The sequence below is a fragment of the Homo sapiens genome, chromosome 7 (assembly GCF_000001405.40).
Source record: "Homo sapiens chromosome 7, GRCh38.p14 Primary Assembly".
Taxonomy (NCBI): domain Eukaryota; kingdom Metazoa; phylum Chordata; class Mammalia; order Primates; family Hominidae; genus Homo; species Homo sapiens.
In genome coordinates, this window is record NC_000007.14 from 135301364 (window position 1) to 135322916 (window position 21553).

The window sequence follows — 21553 nt, forward strand, 5'->3', positions numbered from 1 at the left end:
TCCTCCCATGCCTTCCTTGTGGATGACTACCCAACAGAAACCCAGCTTACTCCTCCAAACACATCAGTCCCTCCAGCTTCTCTGATATGGCTGATCACCAGCTTACTCTCCGACCCCTCTGGGCAGAGCCCCAGGGTTGCATCTGGTAACCTAGCTTTCAACAGGGGCAGGGGCAACATGGCTACAGACCCCTGGTGGTGAGCATGACCTTTCTGCAGAACCAGAGGCAGGTACAGAGCTAGGGCAAGGTAGGGCTCAGCCAGCAGGGAAGATGGTAGATGAAAAGGACCCAGGCCAGGGCTGGATGCAGCCAAACTGTATGCAAGTAAGCATGAGACATTGGAGTCGCTTTGTGGCAAGAGTTCTTGCTCCACATTTGAGATATTCCAAGGATAATAGAAAGGGAGACATATCGCCTGGCATCACTCCAGAAAAAGAAATTACCAGAATTATGCAAAAATCATGAATAATTCCAGAGATTAGTTAAAATCTGGAGTTTCACATAGTCAATATTTTCTTCCTCTAGCGATTGCCTTTTAAACTTGATGTCTTCTTTTGAAATGAATGGTGATGCATTCCTTTATGTGAATTTCAGAAGTGAGCACATAAGTAAGGAAGATCTTTAGGGGATACACCTCTAAAGCCATACCAAGGAGGCAGCCATCCACAGTTGAGAATTACAGCTGCTGCCCACCCTGGATGAAGCAGCTGTTAGCTCTTATGCCCAAAACAGTGGCTATTACCTCTCACTTTTCCCTTCTAAGTATTTAACATGGTAGGAAGTGCTAAGATCTTCTGAAGTCTTATTGCAAGATTGGCATTCTTGTTTCTAATCTAGAAAAGTCCATCATTAAATACTGCTTAACCAACAATCAAATTTACTTGGCCTTTAGTTCATAAGCTATCTGTTAGGTTTTACAACCTATCTGTCTCAGGTAGTCACTCATTAGGATCTGAGAGGGAAGCCCATTTGCAGGGGTGAAACCAAACTCAAGTTTATTTCTGCCCCCACCTTAGTCTAAAGACATGAGCATGATTTTATTTCTGAATTGTGTTTCTCTCTTTTCTTTGCATGTTTAATTAGGGTATAAATTCCTTGAACCCTAACTTCTGATTAGTTTGTGCTTTTCACAGAACTTACAAGAAGGCTAGCCCCACAGGCCTTTTCAGTCCTGATTATTCAGTTGAAATAGGACACTTGGCCAGGCGCGGTGGCTCACGCCTGTAATCCCAGCACTTTAGGAGGCCAAGGTGGGTGGATCCCCTAAGGTCAGGAGTTTGAGACCAGCCTGGCCAAAATGGCAAAACCCTGTCTCTACCAAAAATACAAAAATTAGCTGGGCATGGTGGCACGCACCTATAATCCCAGCTACTATGGAGGCTGAGGCAGGAGAATTGCTTGAATCCAGGGGGCAGAGGTTGCAGTGAGCCCAGATGGTGCCACTGCACTACAGCCTGGGCAACAGAGCAAGACTCTGTCTCAAAAAAAAAAAAAAAAAAAAGAGAAAAAGAAAAAAGAGAGAGAGGAAGGAAGGAAGGAAGGAAGGAAGGAAGGAAGGAAGGAGGACACTTGGTCGACTTCTCTGTCAACATCAGAGGTGTCCACAATATTAGAGATGGAAGGGACTTTTCGATACTATCTAGTTCATCCTGTTTAATTTGCAGATGAGAAACTCGAGCCTTAGAGAGGGTTTATGATTCATCCAAGTTCCCACAGCACAGAGCTAGAATTCAGCCCTCTAGTTTCCAAACTTGAAGCTTTTCCATAATTAAAATTAACATCACCTCAGGTTTGGGTGAAGGGCTCCCCCATTCATAATAGCTCTGTGTTTATAATTCTTCATGGGGCAGGGGCTGGGGTGGGGGCTCCTGAGTATCTCCGCAGGGGGTTAACAAGGCCTCTCTCTCTACTGCTACTGCAACGTCTTACATTGTGAGGCTAATCATGGAAGGGAGGGGTCTGTATTTTAGGGGCCTGAGAGACAGACCAGAGTGAACCCTTGGAAGACATCTTGGCTCACAGAGATAGTGACAAAGAAGGAAGAGGGGGAAGGGAAGTCACTTTTCCAAGAGGGAGGAACTGGCCTCCCATCCTCTACAGAACACAGGGAGAGCCTAAGCACTGTCATGTCTCCTGGAAATGACTGGCAAAGGAAGTAGTTTGGGAAGTACTTTGATTTGATTTAGACAAAAAGACCATTCTAGGAATGAATATTTTCCTCCAGATGCTGCCTAGATTCCATCTACTTTGGAAATAACTAGCCAACCTTAGTCTACACTTTTGTAGCTTTGATCAGATAATTAAGACTAATTGCATATTCATTGTTCCTGCCGAGTCATTTTCTCTTAAGACAGGCAGAAGCACATTGTGGGGAATGTTTTCCATTTTCCTTTGCAACCCCAGAGCGGAGCACAGGCTTGGCGCAGATCAGGTAGAAAGTAGAATTACAGTGATGGGCCCCTCCCTTGCATAGTTCCTTCCAAAGCCTAGATAGGAGTCTAGCAATGTGTTCACTAACCATACACATTTGTAAAATCTGTAAAAGCAAAAGGTTTCAGCTGCCATTGGCTTCAACAGCTGTCTCTGTCCACTTTGAGCTCCCTAACTCTAAACCATGGCTCAGATGGCGTTTGAAAGGCCACGGGATTTGGCTAATAGGGAGTCAAGTCAGGATACATTTAGTTAGAATGTAGTGGGATATATTAATGCGGTTGCAGACCACTGACCCACCTATGTATAACGAATTTATTGCTAGCCTTCCTGGTATAATCACGGTTTCCAGCAATTCTCCTAACACCCACTGGGCCAGTCCACCCGATGTCATGACATAATGGTGCAGGACCAGAGGCCACATTAGGATACGAATATGTCCTCTAGCACCTGACACTTGACGTATGCAGATAGTGGATGACAAACAAGGTTTGAAATGTATGGAGCCAGAAGCTATCTGTGGAAAACTTGACAATCATCAGATATGCAAAATTGCCAGAGATTTGGTTGTTATTGATGTCTAGGCAAAAATGGACATTTTCTCCTATCAGGAATATACATAGGAATGCAGCATATAAACTTATGAATGCACTATGCACTTAAACATTTTTTGACAGGAATCAGGTCCACAGAACTCCTGTGTTTGTAAGGCACAAATCTATAGCAGTACCACAGTCTGCATGGAAAGTCGTAATGAGGCATCCCAGCTAGCAGTAATAACAAATAAACTTGGACTAACCCATCCTAGAGGAATGACTGAGTTATCTTTCCTTTTTTCTGCAAAATGAGGTCATTGAAGAGATGAAACCATAAAATGTAGAGGGAGAAAGTATTATAGGTGACTGTCAGATGGTTAAATAATAAAAATGTCATGCTATTTTCTGAAATGTGTGACATTTGTAGTATTTATCTGTTTTTTAACACCTGTAATTTGTTGTGATTACTTTCTTAAATCTAGACAAATATTCCCTTTTGTGCACAATTTTATATGTGTAATTTTCTGTTCTTTTTCTTAAAGGGGACACCAAAAACCATCTAAGCTTCAGGTTGTGCAAAACTCACTCTCTCCTTGGACTGGAAGCTAAATAAACATAAAGGAAGGAACACTGGACTAATAGGTTTGCAGGGAGGGAGGAGAATAAGAAAGATCAAGAGGACCTACAAAGAGAAATTTCCCAAGAAGGTGGTAACCTAAAGAAGCCACTGTGTGAGGTTCTAGGGAATCATGATGGGGTAGGGAATGGTAGTGGAGAGTGTGAAAAAAGAGGATGTGTGGAAATGAGGGAGGAATGGTCTCCAAAGACACATTTCCTGGCTTCACAATTTTGTCCAGGCCAGAGTAATAGAGCTCCATTTTACTCGGGCTAACTTTAGCAGCCTACATATGAACACAAGGGACTTGATTTTTTTATTTTAAAAAAGGGATTCCACTGATTATACCAATTGAGCATCTCAATGATACTGTAAGGGAGCAAAGGCACATATACTCATTAGCTGCATTTCACAGGTCCCAAACCACAGTGAATGTCTGCTGTCTTGTCTACCCAGAGCAGAATTCCTCTACTCTGCTTCATTGGGAAATCTTCCCGAATGGGAGTTGCCATATTTGTTGCCCAGGCAGCTCCAGGGCTGGGCAGTGGAGCTCTCCTGGAATTTTACAATGGGGGACTAGCCAGAGCAGCCCTCACTTGCTTTTGGGTGGTAAGTGGGAGGATGTCTAGGAGTGCTGCCTGCAGTCATGTTGTGATGGTTGAATTTATGGTTCAACTTGACCAGGCTAAGGGCTGCCCAGATGGCTGGTAACATATTGCAGGGTGTGTCTGTGAGGGTGTCTCTGGAAGAGATTATCATTTGAATTGGTGGAGTGAGTAAAGAAGATCACCAATGCAGTGGGCGTCATCCTATCCATTGGGGATCCAAATAGAACGAAAGGCAGAGAAAGACTGGATTCTCTTGCTCTCTTCTTGAGCTGGGACAGCCGTCTTCTCCTGCCCTCAGACACTGGTACTCCTGGTTCTCAGGCCTTCAGACTCAGACTGAAACTTATAATGCTGGCCTCCTACCCCAACCTCACATCCAGGCCTTTGGACTCAGCCTGAACCACCAGCTTTCCTGGTTCTCCAGCTTGCAGGTAGCAGATCATGGGACTTTGGCCTCCATAATTGTGTGAGCCAATTCCTGAAATAAATCTCCTCTTCATATATCTCTATATATCCTATTGGCTCTGCTTCTCTGAGAACCCTGACTAACGCACATGTGCAGGAAGCCTGTCTGCAAGTAGGAAGCACAGGCACTGGCAGAGTAATGAAGAGATGGTCCTGTCCTCCAACCAGAAGAGAGCCCCCTGCACTTGGCCCAATGCCTTAGAGGGTCTGCTCTAGCTTCTCAGGGAGGAGTCTGCAGGGCCAAGGGGATGTGCTCCCCTGAGGTCTGTGTCCCTCTCCCCTTTGAGTCCCCGAAATTCTGTGCCCAAATGGCCCTGGGCCTCTTCCAGAGGCTGCTTGTGTGTCTTCTCTAGGTCCATCCTGCTGAGGGCAGGCAATGATGCAGGTGCGCACACCCCAAGGATGGCCATGGGCCAGCTGTTTGGGGGCAGCTATTTGGGGAGTCCATTGTCATGGGGGCGAGAAAAGAAGTTGGATGTGCAGGTTGGGGTGTCCACATCCACATATGTGAGACCATTTGTGATTTGGAGTAAAGCTTGGAGAGAGAAGTGGGAGGCTGCAGGCTGGGGACTGGCCCTTGCCATGTTGCCAGGCTCCAAAGCAGAGGTCTAACGAGGCAGAGGATTCTCAGTTCAAACCTGGCCTTCCAGGCAGAATGATGAGAACATGTTTTATTTCAGAGTTTGTCAGCTTGGTTTATAACTTACCAATATTTAGACACAGAGTATGTGGGTCTCCATTTGTACTTGTACCGAGGGTCTTGCAAATATTAGGGGCAGGCTTGAGCAGAGTCAAGAGACAGAGAAGATCCCGGCAGCATTTGAGTCCCTGGTTCGTGTTCCTGCGGCTTGGATGCACCCCTGCGTTTCTCTTGTTTTAACCTTATCAGTTAATAAAGCATACATTTCTGCCTAAGCTGATCTGGATTTGTGTTACTTCCCATCAAGGATCCTAGCCAATGTGGAGAGTAAGTGATGGAGCTGAAACTTGAACCCAGGCTCTGTCTCCTAACCCTGTGCGCCCTCCCTTACTCCACACCAGCTTCCCAGCCATCTCTCCAGCCATAAGCCAAGAAAGCCTTGCTGGCACCCTGGCAGGTAAAAGTCAGAACCCATGGGGAACAATTTTACCTACCTGACCCCTAAAAACACTTGCAGGAGCATGCAGATGCTGGAGCAAAGAAAATGGTGCTGATGAGGTAGCTCTGTGTCAGGGGGTCCTGCTGCAGGCACAGGTCCTTGGCCAGGATGAATGGCACCGCCATGAGGCCCCCCAGGGCTGTGAGGAAGTGCTGTGGGCAGAGAGTGAGAGGAGCAGGCATGTGATGTTGTGGCCTCCAGCTCCACTCTCATTCCCCAAACCAGAGAGTGCCCAACATTAACAGGGGTGCCTTTCCCACTGCTCTGAGAGTCACCTGGCCATGAGTAACAAGCGAAGACCAGGCAGGCAGGGGGAATGAGGAAGGCCTGATGGTGAGAAGCAGGGACCCAGCCACAGGGACTGGCCTCAGGAGCAGGCACCCAGCTCCAGGAACTCATATCCTGGGGAGGAAACCAAGGTAGGGAGGCAAGCATAGGAGGGGGTAACAGGAACCAAGACAGGGCCTTAAGAACAAGAGCAAGGCAAGAGGCTCGTTATTAAACAAGGCCCACTGTGAGAGCAGACCATCTACAAGGAGGGCCTGAGCATGAGCTTGCAGCCATTGGCCAAAGGCTACTGGAGTTTCACCGGACAGGACAGAGTTAGACCCAGAGCTCAGGGTAGGGCTGAGCCCACAGCAGGCAGCCTCAGCTATAAAGAAGGTAAATTAAATATAAATGCCAGATTGACCAATTGACTGATAGATATGGGGCAACCAGTCAACACAGAAATGGGCCACTGATATGGTTTGGCTATGTCCCCACCCAAATCTCATCTTGAACTGTAATCCCCATAATCCTCTTGTGTCAAGGGAGGGACCCCGTGGGAGGTGATTGGATCATGCGGGCAGTTTCTCTCATACTGTTCTCGTGATAGTGAGTGAGTTCTCACAAGATCGGATGGTTTTATAAATGGAAGTCTCCCATCCCAGCGCAGTGGCTCATGCCTGTAATCCCAGAACTTTGGAAGGTCGAGGCAGACAGATCACCTGAGGTCAGGAGTTTGAGACCAGCCTGGCCAACATGGTGAAACCCCATCTATACTAAAAATGCAAAAATTAGCCAGGTGTGGTGGCAGGTACCTGTAATCCCAGCTACTCAGGAGGCTGAGGCAGGAAAATTGCTTGAACTTGGAAGGCAGAGGTTGCAGTGAGCCAAGATGGAGCCACTGCACTCCAGCCTGGGCCACAGAATGAGACTCAATCAATCAGTCAATCAGTGGGAGTCTCCCCTGGGCTTTTCACTTTCTCTGTTTTGCCTGCCACCATGTAAGACATGCCTGCTTTCCCTTCTGCCATGATTGTAAGTTTCCTGAGGCCTCCCTAGCCACGAAGAACTATAAGTCAATTAAATTTCTTTGTTTTATAAATTAATCAGCCTCAGGTAGTATCTTTATAGCAGTGTGAAAATAGACTAATGCAGACTCTGTCTCACACACTCTAGCCCCAGAGCTGAAAGGTTGGCTGGGTCTAGGGGTACATTTGTGGGCTGTTGTCAGTTTTGTTCTGAGCCACACTAACTGGCCAATATATGGCTCCAGTCCCCACACGAATCTGGCCACTGAGCCAAACATTCTGAGAACAGACATGTGAAGCCACCTGCTTCTCTCCTTCACTTCGATGCAACCGGCTCTCTGATACCTGAGGCCAGCATTTCCACAGGGTCTCATGTTCCTAGTGCTAGTAGAATCACTCTGGTTTGGCATCTGCAGGAGCAGCCAATGTCCCACTGCAGGTTTACCCAAGAGTATAGGCTCTCTAACTCATCCCCTAAGAATACAGCATAAATCAAGCAGCAGATGTAGGCTTGGTTTATAAAAGTTAGTTGTTGGGTCAGTCAAGATAAAAAATGAAAGAAGAGAAGGAAGGAAAGAAGGAAGAGAGGAAGGAAGGAAGAAAAGGAGGAAGGGAGAAAAAGAGAGGAGAGGAGAAGAAACAGGGAGAGAGAGGGAAAAAAGGGAAAGAAAACAAGAGAAGGAAAGAGAGAGGAAGGGAGAATAGGGAAGGAGGGAGGGAAGGAGATGGAAGGAAGAAGAAGGAAGAGGAAGGAAGGAAGAAAGGAAGGAAGGAAGGAGAAGAAAGGATGGAAGGAAGGAAAGAGATGGACAGACAAATTGTGGTCATCTAAAAATTGGCTGACCCCTTGGGAAAGACGATAAGGGGGCAGGGGAGCTTCAGAGAAGAGGTGCCTACGTGTTGCAGGGGCACTTTGACAATCCTTGCCATTGTTCCTACAGTCCTTCATGGTCTCTCATAGATGTTCTTGGATCTGCTACCCACTAATTCAGTGCAGACCATAATATTCTCCAGGCCAAGAATCCACCAGTGTTAGATTGCCCATCTCATATCCTGCCCAGAAGCACTGGCTATAACCACCCTTATAGACAGGGCCAACTTCCCCTCATTAGCAAATAAATCTCTTGATCGTACAGGCATTTTCTTTTCTTTCTTCCTTTTTTTTTTTTTTTTTTTTTTTGAGATAGAGTATCATTCTGTCACCCAGGCTGTAGTGCAATGGCGAGATCTTGGCTCACTGCAACCTCCACCACCTGGTTTCAAGCAATTCCCCTGCCTCAGCCTCCTGACTAGCTGAGATTACAGGCACCTGCCACCATGCCTAGCTAATTTTTGCATTTTTAGCAGAGACGGGGTTTCACCATGTTGGCCAGGCTGGTCTCAAACTCCTGACCTGAAGTAATCCACCCGCCTCGGCCCCACAAAGTGCTGCGATTACAGGCATGAGCCACCGTGCCTGGCCTTTTTGTTGTTGTTGTTGTTGTTTTGAGACAGTTTTACTCTGTTGCCCAGGCTGCAGTGCAGTGGCACAATTTTGGCTCACTGCAACCTCTGCCTCCCAGCTTCAAGCAGTTCTCCTACTTCAGCCTCCTGAGTAGCTGGGATTACAGGTGCAAGCCACCACGCCCAGCTAATTTTTGTATTTTCACCATGTTGGCCAGGCTGGTCTCAAACTCCTGACCTCAAGCGAACTGTCTGCCTTGGCCTCCCAAAGTGCTAGGATTACAGGTATGAGCCACCTTGCCTGGCCACCAGGCATTTTCATGGAAGCTGAACTTGGAAGAGAAGTTATCATCCGCAGGGCTTGCTCTAAGGAAGGAGAACTGGCCTGGCACCTCTCACCTCCTCCAAGAGAACTGGACCTTTAACCAGCCCAGTGAACCCACCTAGGAGAAAAACGGGCCAGCCAGTCTTGGATATGGCCAGTCAATGCAGTACGAGGGAAAATCCTCCTCTAATCCTCCACACCCCTCCCCACACCCCTGGAGAGAAAGAGACTGCAGGAGCTTTGAGTTCCCGCGAGAGGTCAACGTGGGAGACAAAACAACTTCATTTGACCTGACTATACGTTGATGTGGTTTTTGAGGCAGAGCCTCTTCGGGAGGAATTACCTGAATCCCCAAGAAGATACAGAGATAACATGGCAGGATGTCCAAGATGTCATAGGCCAGGCAGCTGCTGCGGGACTCCCGGGCTGCCTATCTGTCCTCCTGCCTTGGCCATAGGTTGGGAGCTGAGCACGACATCACTCCTCTGCTGGGAACAAGAAAAGGACACGTCTGGGCATTTCAAGAGGGATCAAGTGGACTTTCTGATTTCATCCAGGCAGACGGCCTTCAAAACGCAAGAGGCAGTGGGATGGGGACAACTGTTGGCCAGCTAGGGATTTTAGGCGCAGACTCAAAAGAGCAGTGGCTTCCTATGCTATGATCTGCAGCAGGGCCTCTGTGTGAAGTCTGGGGCCACACGAGGGGAGTGGGCACCTTACCCGATGCCTCGGCAGAGGAGCAGCTTTGTGGGAGAGGAGATGGGGCCAACTCCAAGATCAGAAAATGGGTAGTTTTCCCACACGGACCAGTGTTTCCAACTGCCAAAGTCCTCCTCACAACATGTTTATCATAATGGGCGGCTTCCTTACCCATCCCTTCTGCTGGAATGTCAGTTTCTAGCATGCATGGATTGTTTCTCACTCTTCTCACTCATCCCAGCTTCTAGTGAAGCCCCTGTGCTCAGTGTAGACTGAACGAATGAATGTAACACTGTAAATGAGTACTGTGCATACAGAATGATAGCCAACTTGCATTCCTCTCGGCGTAACCAAAATTAACTTTGAGTTATAGACCTTCCCTTCAACTTATTGGTGGGATAGCTTACTAACTGGGCCCCTTCCTTATATTTCTGTCTCAGTTTTCTGAGCTATATAAAAGAAATGTCAATAGCACGTACCTCATAGATGGATGAGAAAATCAAATTGGAGCATGACCGCATAGCCTAGCGCCTGGCACAGTGTAATTGCCCCATCAATATTAGCTGATCTAATTACTCTGAGCTTCCATATTTCCATATGTTCAAAGGGCTTTGCACATGTGCTTAAGGCCAACATTTGAGCATCTGGTCATGAGTGAGAAGAACATGACAGCATTGTCTCTGGTGTGGCCAGAAGCTAGTAAGGCCACCAATATGAAGATCAGGCCACTCTATGTGATGTGCTTCCACAGGGTTCTAGGCACCAGCCAGATCACAGAAGGCAGGTCTCTACAATGTCACAGCCTGAGGATAGTGCGGGCTTCCCATGGAGACAGTTCTAGAGAGAATGTTGAGGTCATCCACTCCAATGCCCAGCTCCCTGCCTACATGTCCTTTACATCAGCCCAGCCTCAGAGAACAACTTCCGGAGCAGGGCCACGTTATGATGCTCACAGGCACTAAGCACTTGGACTCTGTGGGCCCCTTCCTCCATAGAAAATACATTTAAAATTGTATTTGGAAGCTGGGCATGATAGCTCACTCCTGTAATCCCAGCACTTTGGGAGGCTGAGAAGGGCAGATCACTTGAGCTCAGGAGTTTGAGACCAGGGCAAGACCCCATCTCTACAAAATACACAAAAATTAGCCAGTGTGGTGGTGCACACCAGTAGTCCCAGCTACTCAGGAGGCTGAGGTAGGAGGATCACTTGAGCCCAGGAGTTGAGGCTGCAATGTGCCGTGATTGTGCCACTGTACTCCACTCCAGCCTGGGCAACAGAGCAAGGCCTTGTCTCAAAAATAAAATAAAATATTATATTATATTTGAGGACTACATTGGTGTAAAGATGAATATATATATGTATATATATGTGTGTGTATATATACATATATATATATGTAGTATTTTTAGTAGAGACGGGGTTTCACCATATTGGCCAGGCTGGTCTCGAACTCCTGACCTCAGGTGATCTGCCCGCCTCGGCCTCCCAAAGTGCTGGAATTACAGGTGTGAGCCACTGCACCTGGCCTATATTAATATATTAAATCCTTTTCTTTGACCTTAAAGTGCATATATTCCTTCCAATTTTAAAAGAAATGAGGACATATTCATGGGTCCTGGGCACCGTGCTTCCTGCACCTAAATGGATTAGCAGCTCCGCTCTGCAGAAGCAGGAGCAGGAGATGAGATGGGGGTGGGGGTTACCACTAGCTTTGATGTGGAAAGAGGCAAGCAAGCCACCAGAAGAACTGGGCAGTCATCCCCTACCGTCTCCAGGAGATCACTGTGCTAAGGAAACATTATATTCTAAGCAGAGTTCCTCAGACTCTCGGCACTATTGATGTTTTGGACTGGACGATTCTTTGTTGTGTTGTGTGGTTGGTGGCATGGGTGCTGTCTTGTGCATGATATTATGCTAAGCAGCATACTGGCCTTACCCATGAGATGCCAGTAGCACTCCCTCCCCCAACATGTGACAACCAAAAATGCCTCCAGACATTGTCAAATATCCCCTGGGGGTCAAACTGCCCCCCATTAAGAACCACTATTGTGAGAGCATTGGTCCCCTCAAGGAAGCCCTAACTTTGGGACGGTGCTGGGTGGAAAGGATGGGGAGGTGAGTGGAGTGGGTAGCACCCTGTCCTGTGTGGAGATAAAGGAAGCCAGTCCCTCTCCATGGGGGCCGAGCACTGGCAAATGCTCATCCTAATTCCTTCCCAGTATACTCCTGCAAAGCCCTGTTGCAGGGATGGAGGAAGCCTGGCATTGCACACCAAGAAGAACCCAGGGCTAAGGTCCAGGATCCTGATATGGGGTCTACTGACCTGGCCCTGGTTCAGCTCTGCAGGATCATTTGGTTCTCATTACAAATCAGCATTTGCTCATTCATCTCGTTAACACTAGGTCCTAAAACATCTATGTAAGAGTTTTGCTTCAGCTCATCTATTTAGTGACTGCTCATCTACTCCAGGAAGCCCTCCCTGACTCCACCGCAGCCAGCCTCAGACTAGAGAAGGTCTGTCCTTCCTCAGGGGCTCCTACAGAATCATGAGCATGTTTACCACAGCCCCAGACACTCATATCATAATCCTATGATTCCTTACCCAAAAGACTGTATAGTCCCGTAACTTCTCTATCTCCATCCCTAGTACATAGTGCTCTTGGCACTGATGAAACGAATGAACAAATATACAAACAATGACTATGGAGAATCTTTCTAACTGATTTTTAAAAATAAATCTCTAACTTTAGCTGGTTGGAACTCATCTGAAACATCATGCCTACTCTCTTTAGACTTCTAGGGAAAAAAGGATGTATTGAGGCTGCTTGGAACACGGGATGCACGTGGAAGAAATCTGCTTTTCCTAAAGTGGTCAAAGCCGAGCCAAAGGTAGACTGGAGGGAGCTCTGGATCCTGAGTGCTTATGCTGAGATTTCAGTGAATGTGTGTAGGAATCCACAAGGAACAGTGAGAAAATTCACGATTGAGGAAAGAGGAGGGGGAGAGGGAGATGGAGTGATTGACCGATGGATTCTGAACAGGCAAGTCACAGAGAAGCAGCAGCAGTTGGGCCAATGTGATTCTGTCACCCCCCAGCTCAGCAACCACAAGCACCTGACGTCGCCTCTCCCAGCCTGTCTCCCCCTCTAGAATCTGGAGGGGTCATAAGGATGCCCGCAGGCTAGCATACATGCAACATGTGTGCCATCCACTTGCGCATACTTGTGAATGAGCTCACAGGGCCGTGGCCGCTCCAGCTGTGTGTGTCGTGCCAGCAAGCTCACATCGCACCCTCTCCCAGGACCTCTAGGAATTCTCAGGAAGGTGAAGGCGAGGGAGACAGCATGACGGGGAAAAAATGTGGGCCCTAACCTACTTGCCTTTTTTTCCCCAGTAGAGCAGGAGCCAATGTCAAAGACTGTTCAGTCTGATGATCTCTGAATCATCTAAGGTCTGTCCATATCAGTGTGGACCATCGGAAGGTCGTGGAAACCACTTCTGCATCTGCTTTAAAACAGTTTTCTGGGAAATGGATCCTACCTGAGGGTCCACATGAAAAAAAATTAGAACATAGAACCGGGAGACACCTTGCCTTCCCTGAGAACAGCTGGTCCTTCCCGTGTGAAGAGAGTGTGACCAAGAAGCCCACCAGCCAGAACTGGTAGAAAGCTCAGAGCCTGGGAGAATACTTTGAGCTCAGTGATACCAGCCCTTCTCTGAACATACTCATTTTCCTCTCCTTTCTGTGTGCTTGATTGTTTATCTCTGTATTGTTCACCTAATTGTTTATAAATATACCTTTTGTTGTAAACTTCCTCAAGTCATCTAGGCAAAGAGGGGGGCATAGAAATGAACAGCAGGGACACAGGATGCTAAGAGTCCTGTGTGTCGGTGAGGAAGGGCTTAAAGACATTCACAGAAACAAGGAACAGCCCGGAGATAGCTTAGAGCCGGGTTTCTCAGTTGCGAGCAGGAGATGCCTCATCTCAGAGCATATGAGAATATGGGTAGGCCAGGCACGGTGGCTCACGTCTATAATTTCAGTGCTTTGAAAGGCCGAGGTGGGAGGATCTTTTGAGCCCAGGAATTCGAGACCAGCCTAGGCAACATAGGGAAACCCTGTCTCTACCAAAAAAAAAAAAAAAAAAAAATCAAATATATACACACATATATATATATATACATACATATACACACACACACACACACGTGTATGTGTGTGTGTGCGTATGAAGTACTTTTTAATTCCACAGAATCCCTTGCTGGGAGGAGTCTGTGTGTGTGACTCAAAGCAGCAGAAGAAAGCTTGCAAGCCCCTTTTTGGAGGAAGAATGAATTCTTCATGAAGCACTTCCCGACATTGAGAATGGTATGAGAATATGAGCCATAACCTCCTCTTCTGGTTGGAGGAGTCTGTCAACTCAATGCATGGATTGTAATTTTACCATAAGACTTGATCAAAAGAGGCATCCTGATTGAGGTTTGGAATTTTATAGCACTTTACAGTTTACAAAGAGTTTCCAATACATCTCGTTTAGGCCAGGCGCAGTGGCTCATGCCTGTAATCGCAGCACTTTGGGAGGCCAAGGCAGGTGGATCATTTGTGGTCAGGAGCTCGAGACCAGCCTGGCCAACATGGTGAAACCCCATCTCTACTAAAAATACAAAAATTAGCCTGGAGTGGTGGTGCCGGCCTGTAATCTCAGCTACTTGGGAGGCTGATGCAGGAGAATTGCTTGAACCCAGGAGGCAGAGGTTGCAGTGAGCCAAGATTGCACCACTGCACTCCAACCTGGGAGACAGAGTGAGACTCTGTCTCAGGGGGAAAAAAAGAAAACATCTCATCGAAGACTCACCATCATCTTATTGCTTCCCTCTGACAGATGAGGAGATTGAGGCTCCCTGAGGTTACAAGGCTTGTCTGAGGTCCACCAGAGGAGGAAGGTTCCACATAGGGACAAGTAGAGTTGAGGTCTGTCATCTGGTGTGGCCCTGGGCATACAGAGACAGTCCTCCAGCTCCCGGGAACAGACTAGCAGAGCAGGAGGCGGCACTGATGTGCAGAGAGCAGTAATGACAAGGCTGGGGATTTCTTGGGGGAAGGTGAATGCCTTTCCCCCTCTGACACCATCTATACCCAATACAGCCTTTCCTTCTTTCCAGCCTCCAAGGCTCACCTGACCTAGGCTCGTTTCCTAACACTCCCGTTCACCTGGCTCTCCCCAGTGGGTTTGTCCAGGTTTCTCCCAATGTGGCTTCCATGGTCCTGCCTCAGTGCCTTTTGTCACCCTGGGCCCCCCTCCATCTCCACCACCTGCTTCTTGTACTCGCGGCCTCCTTGGAAGAGCTCAAATTCCTCCCCCGTCACCTTTCCTGATTCCCCACCTGCCTGTGGCCTTTATCTCTGGTGCATCATGTGCCATTTTCTGCCTTGTATCAGAGATATTTTTCAGATGCCGCCTCTTCCTGCTTTTGCCTAGCTGGGCCATAAGCTTTCAGGGTCGGGAAGGTGCCTTCCCCCAGTTTATAACCCAGTTCCAGCAGAGCAACGTGCTCCCCAAAACCAGCAGCATCTCAGAATGGTGACTTCGTCATCTGGGTGCTGCTCTGAGGCTGTGAGAAAAACAGCAGGAAGAAAGGCCACTGAGAAGGAGAGGGATAGGTGCCCAGAACCCCCACTCTCAAGTTTGCCTCAGGGAAGCCAGAAATGTAGGAACACACAACTGTCTCCAGAAAATGGAATCTTCAACTCATTTCCCAAGTTTTTGTGTCGTTGCTGTTTAGGGGTTGTTTTTGGCTCCCGAGAGCTAGTGGCACCTCCGCTGAGTGACGTGAGTTCTTTGGTGCCTCCCACACTTTCTCAGAAGAGAATGCATGTGGCTCTTTGCTGGAAGGCTGACCAGCAGCAGGCAGGGGCCGGCAGCCATGCTCCAGGGAAGCCTGAGAGCCCAGCCTGGATCGTGGGTGGTCCCTGTCCCCAGACATCTGGCCTGGGCCTGATTAGGGCTACAGAACTGGCCCATGCAGTGGGTATTGGCAAGAACAGAGGGTCTTCCCGCCCGGGTCCACCCTGTTATGTTCAAGTGGCCAAAACAAGTTGGAGGGGGTGGTGGGGCCAGGGCTCAGGGCCCAGCTAGACAGATCATCAGATGAGTCACTGTGACTTGACTTCTCTGGGCCTCAGGTCTCTCATCTGTAAAATGGGAACAGAAGTGCCTGTTTCCATTGGCTTGTTTGGAAGAAAATAAAGTTCAGAAAGTGCTTAGGGCATACTGGCTGCTCAATAAAAGTGACTTCTTTCTCTCTCACACTTTGCTTCCATTCAGAGAAAGCTTCTGAAAAGAGAAACTGAAATGCAACCTGGAAAACAGGCCTTCAGATTCAACAGATCCACCCTGTGCATTAGGGTGTCGCAAACGGGATCAGTTGCTGGGATTACCAGGAAATCCAATCTTCTAAATCTTCCCCCCTCCTTTGTAATTTACCGTTTATTCGGGGCGGATTCTGTGTCTGTTGTGATGGTGACCACAGGTGACACTAAGGGGCACTAACGCTGGAGGTGGGGAGGGAGTGCTGCATGGGTCTCATCATCTGAACCCTGATCTAAAGCATGAGGCTAGGCCTTAGCACTAAGAAGGAGTCAGGGCAGTAGGACCTCCCCGCAGCCCTTCTTCCTGCTCCCCATCTTTCTCTCCCTCTGTCTCCCACCGGGCCTTACCGAGTAAGTGGAGTGCTCACGGCTAGTGACGGCGGAGTTCATGGCAACTGGGGTCTTCTTCTGGCTTCCTCTGGGGAAGCAGGACAGGGAACACCAAAAAAAAAAAAAAAAAAAAAGTGAAGCTGCCTCAGGAGCCAGAGATTAATTTCTCTAGGCAGGACTCTGCACCAAGGGCGGGTCCTGGGACTACCCAGGCAGCCCTCAGGAGGGAGGGGCCTCCAGCTCCTACGTGCCTGCTCCTCTAAAACAGACTCCCGCTCCAGCCTGTCCTGCAGGGAACCAAGGTGCATTCGGTTGCAGGAAATGTTTCATAAGTTTCGGTAGCTGCAGAGGAGTTAATGATCCCCCACAGCACTCAGGAAACCAAGGGGAGGACAGCCCATCAGGGTGTAGCAGAAGAGCACTTTCTGGAAACCAGGTTCGAGGGGGCAGAAAAGGAGGGGGATGAGGGTGAGGCTCTGGCTGGAACATCGAGGCTTTTCCATTTTCTAAGCTGATTCCTTGTGACTGGTTGAGCTGAATGGAAATCGTTGCAAAATAGCTGGAACAGCGTGACCCCTGAGATGCCTAATGAGATGATTAATAGGGAAGAAGATTACGCCTTGTCCTGGCCACAGCTGCTAAGGCTTATGGGTAGGGCAAAGGCCTCACAAGGCTCAGGTGAGAGCCTGAGAGACAAATGCTTCTAATCCTTCATGCTTGTTTCCCAAAGACCCAGAAACACCTGATAATCTGCCTTCTAAAGACAGAAGTCCAGGAAGGTGTAGTTTCGCTGTTATTCTGCACAGAACACTTGAAAGCCCGTCCTCAAAAGCTCTTGATCAAACCCCACTTCATGAAGTCCAAAGCAAGCAAATACCAGCTCCTCATGGTGGCAGAATGTTCTGGAAAGGGTGGCACTGGCTCCCAAGGTTCACGAAGTGCATGACAGGACCCACATAAAGTCAACGGGAGTTGGTCCAAAAGGAAGCCCTGAAAAACATGACGATGAGATTGTGGAAGGAAAATAAATCTTGGGACCCCAAATCACTAAGCCAAGGGCAAAGTCAAGCTGGCCTCAGGCAAACCTGCCTCCCATTTTTTCCTAAATAAGATAGCTGCAAAGATAAAAACGCTGCATACCTCACTCGCAATTTGCCCACGAGGAAACTCCTTGTGGACCTCAAGATCTTTACCCTGAAACAGCTCTGTGGAATTTCACCCTAGGAGTATAAACTGACAGCTGATCTTCATAGGTGCAGGACAGAAAGTCATCCCTCTGCTCACCAGAGACAAATACATGTCTGATTGCTTCCTCTGCCCTATTGTTTATGTAAAAATGCAGATTCTGGCTGGGCTCACACCCATAACCCCAACACTTTAGGAGGTCCAGGCTGGTGGATCACTTGAGGTCAGAAGTTCGAGATCAACCTGGTCAACATAGCGAAACCCCATCTATACTAAAAATAAAAAATTAGCTGGGTGTGGTAGTGCACACCTATAGTCCCAGCTATTTGGGAGGCTGAGGCAGAAGAATCACTGGAACCCTAGAGGCGGAGGTTGCAGTGAGCCAAGATGGTTCCACTACACTCTAGCCTGGGCAACAGAGCAAGACTCTGTCTCAAAAAAGAAAAAAAATGCAGATTCACTGAGCCAAACTAAATTATGTATTCAGTGAAAGGCTGATCAAGGATGCAAAACAAAGCAAACTTATCTACGCCCTATGACCTGGAACCCCCCCCCCCGCACCCACCACCATGTCTCCCTAAAATGTATAAAACCACCTTGGGCACATGTCCTCAGGACCTCCTGAGGCTGTGTCACAGGCACATTCTTAAACTTGGCAAAATAAACTTTCCAAGTTGATTGAGGAGACCTGTCTTAGATATTTTGGATTCAGAAGATGTTTGAAGAAGGAGAAGACAGATTAGGCTTGGGCTGTGACAGAAAAACCAAGATGAAGAGACAGTCAAAAGCTGCTAAGTCACTGACTGTTACTGAACACTTGGCTTTGTACACCATGCTCTGCCTTTATATGTACTCTCTTATTTCATCTTCATGACACACCTGGCATTCACATCTTTATTTATAGATTAAGAAATTCAGAGAGTTGGGCCCAGTGGCTCACGCCTGTAATCCCAGCACTTTGGGAGGCCGAGGCAGATTGATCTTGAGGCCAGGCGTTCAAGACCAGCCTGGCCAACACGGTAAAACCCCATCTCTACTAAAAATACAAAAGTTAGGCATGGTGGTGCGCACCTGTAGTCCCAGCTACTCAGGAGGTTGAGGCAGGAGAATCGCTTGAATCCGGGAGGCGGAGGTTGCATTGAGCCGAGATCATGCCACTGCACTCCAGCCTGGGTGACAGAGTGAGACTCTGTCTCAAAAAAAAAAAAAAAAAAAAAGAAAGAAAGAAAGAGAGAGAGAAAGAAAGAAAAGAAAGAAAGAAACTCAGGTGTTGTTGAGTTACATTTTTGTTCGAGGTTCATAATAAATGTAGGAGCTGAGATTCAAACCTAGGCTGTTCCATAGCCCATGGCATACAGAGCACAGTGAGTAAAGACCCTCTGGGCCTGGGCAGGGGCTCCGGAGGAGATGGCCCATGGCCCAGAGAGGTTCTGATTGAGGTTCAACAAGTGTGGCCATGGAAAAAGTGTGGATCCTCCACCGTCATTCTTAGGGCCCCACGTTCACCCCAGAAGTAAGATGGGAACTGCTGGGTGTCAGGAAGGCAGGAGCTCCTGCCGCTATGGAGTTCCCCTGAAAACAATATGACTGCAATCCCCTGGGCTGGGCGAGTTGCCAGGCCAGGACTGGGAGCAGGGCCAACATCCACTGGTTGCCGTGGGAAGGCCTGGCCAGAGTGGATCAGAGTAATGAGCCACCTCTCTGCCCACCACAGTCCCCCACCCTCGCAGACCAGCCAGCAACGTCTGTCCCAACTGCTGCACATGTTGTTTCTCTGGCCTTACTGACCACATCCAAAGGTGGAGTTTCTGGCAAAGGGGTCTGAAAACGCCTCTTCTATATCATTTTAAAGGGACTTAACCCAAGCCTTCTTCAGGGTGCCACCCTGACCAGGAGCAAGGCGATAGGTAAAACACTATCCCAACTCAGGTTAGTTTTATGCCAGAGTTTGGCCACTGTCTTTATTAAGGAGTGGTTTATCTTGTCTGTCATTCTCATTGACTGTGGTCTCTATGATGAATGTAGTTTTCATTTGCTCTGCAATCCTTGACTTACCTTTTGGATAACTTCTGAAATGAGAGAAGGACTGCTGTCACTTTGTGTAGTGCATGGGAGTCCGAACTTGGGAATGATTTTCCTCACTAATGTCTTAGCTGCTTCTGTGGCTCTTTTGGACTTGGTGGGGTATGCTTTTACCCATCCTGAAAAGTTGTCTATAAATACCAGCAGGGCCGGGCGCAGTGGCTCACACGTGTAATCCCAACACTTTGGGAGGCCGAGGCAGGCAGATCGCTTGAGGTCAGCAGTTTGAGACCAGCCTAGCCAACATGGCAAAAACCCATCTCTACTAAAAGTACAAAAGTTAGCTGGGCATGGTGGCACACACCTGTAATACCAGCTACTTGGGAAGCTGAGGCATGAGAATCACTTGAACCTGTGGGGCAGAGGTTGTAGTGAGCCAAGATCGAGCCACTGCACTCCATCCTGGGCAACAGAGTGAGATTCCATCTCAAAAAAAAAAAAAATACCAGGAGGAATTTATGTCACTGGCTGTAGGCATCTGAGTGAATTCTACCTGCCACTCTTTAAAAGGGCACAGTCCTTTGTGTTGCATTCCTCTGCTGGCAGAATTATGTTCGGTCTTGGGGTTATTTTTGGTGCACAAAACATACCCCTGTGTAATTTTCTGAATAGTTTTCCAAAGGTGGGGGCCACACAAGGTCTGCAAGCGTGCCTCTCTCATAGTGTGTTCTTTCCTGCACGTTTTAAAGCTGGATAGACCAGGGCCTCGGGGAGTAAGACTGTTCCCTAAGCATCAGTTTTCCAGAATGGATCTGAGTCTGTTTTATCAAATCCCTAGTCCCCAGGCACACTTCTTGTCTTGCTCAGTATAACAGGGTTTGAAATCTGGCAAGTCCAAATGGGGAATTAAAGCTCCCAGCAGCTGCCTAATTTCCTTTAGTTGTCAATGAGTCATCTTTTTGGTGCCTGGTGCAATGCATAATGGAGGCCTGGGTGAGCAGAGCAGCCGCCTCTCGTTGAGCTAAAATTTTCATTGGGTGTTTAATGTCTTTATTTCCTAATGTCAGGAGGCCTCTCTCTTTCCAGATGGCCCCATGAGCATGCACTACCATGAAGGCATACTTAGAATCAGTGTAACCATTTTCCCTGGGATAGCTCCATGGGCCTGATGAGGGCAATTAGCTCAGCCTTGTGTGCAGAGGTACCAGCAGGAAGGGCGAGGGCTTCTTTTGCCTGGTTGATAGTTACCATGGCATACCTGGCTTGGTGCTGTCCATCCTCCATGAAACTGCTCCCACTGGTGTAGAATTCCCGATCTCTGGCTGGTCTGCCAGGTCTGTTCTGCTGGAATAGACTGCAAAAAGGTTTTTTTTTGTTTGTTTTTGAGACTGAGTCTCGCTCTGTCCCCCAGGCTGGTGTGCAGTAGTGCAATCTCGGCTCACTGCAACCTGGGTTCAAGCAATCCTCATGCCTCAACCTCTTGAGTAGCTGGGATTACAGGCATGCACCACCACACCTGGCTAATTTTTGTATTTTTAGTGGAGACAGGGTTTCACCATGTTGCCCAGGCTGGTCTCAAACTCCTGGGCTCAAGCAATCCAACCTCCTCGGCCTCCCAAAGTGCTGGGATTACAGGGATGAGCCACCTCGCCTGGTCTGCATTAAGGACTTTTAAACAGCCTTGCTGTAAATCAGAATTGGGTCCTTTAGCTGGGAGCATTGTTATCGGGTTTAGAGGTGTAGTAGTTTGCAGGGTAACATTTGGGTGGGTCATCTAAGAGGATGGCCTAGTATTTGCCCATTTGCCCTGCAGTGAGCCATAATCTCCCTTCTGTTTTAGTAAAGTCAGTACCTGGTGGGGCACAAACACTGTAACTGACTGTCCCAGGGAAAATTTTTCTACCTCTTGCAAAACTATACAGGTAGCTACCACTGCCTGAAGGCAGGTTGGCCATGCCTTGGTTGTCTGATTCAATTGCCTAGAGAAACAGGCTATGGATTGCAGTGTGCCTCCTGCATTTGAATTAACACACCCAAATTGACTCTTTGTTTTTTATGGATATAAAGTTTGAATGGCTTCTGGGGACC

General features: G+C 48.0%; 1 long non-coding RNA gene and 1 pseudogene across 2 annotated transcripts in view, besides 1 other annotated feature; both read right to left on the reverse strand.

The window, feature by feature from the left end:
- SLC23A4P (solute carrier family 23 member 4, pseudogene) overlaps positions 1-12198 on the reverse strand; it is a 36345-nt pseudogene extending 24147 nt beyond the window's left edge.
- LOC107984123 (uncharacterized) overlaps positions 1-17207 on the reverse strand; it is a 60858-nt gene extending 43651 nt beyond the window's left edge. The window contains exons 1-5 of one of the 2 annotated variants that reach the window (XR_001745376.1): positions 17136-17207; positions 16277-16346; positions 14415-14550; positions 9202-9343; positions 5791-5947 (exon numbers count right to left, since the gene is read on the reverse strand). This is a non-coding gene — a long non-coding RNA (uncharacterized LOC107984123). Of the gene's footprint in view, positions 1-5790; positions 5948-9201; positions 9344-14414; positions 14551-16276; positions 16371-17135 lie in introns of those variants that run through there. The other variant, XR_007060540.1, reaches the window with a different exon arrangement.
- Positions 12729-12901: a silencer, noted in NCBI's record as "fragment chr7:134998844-134999016 (GRCh37/hg19 assembly coordinates)". NCBI's record gives its function as "represses an EF-1alpha promoter that drives an FKBP-Casp9 reporter gene in an ReSE screen in HepG2 liver carcinoma cells {active_cell/tissue: HepG2}" and the evidence as "EXISTENCE:reporter gene assay evidence [ECO:0000049][PMID:32094911]".
- Positions 17208-21553: the final 4346 nt, after the last annotated feature.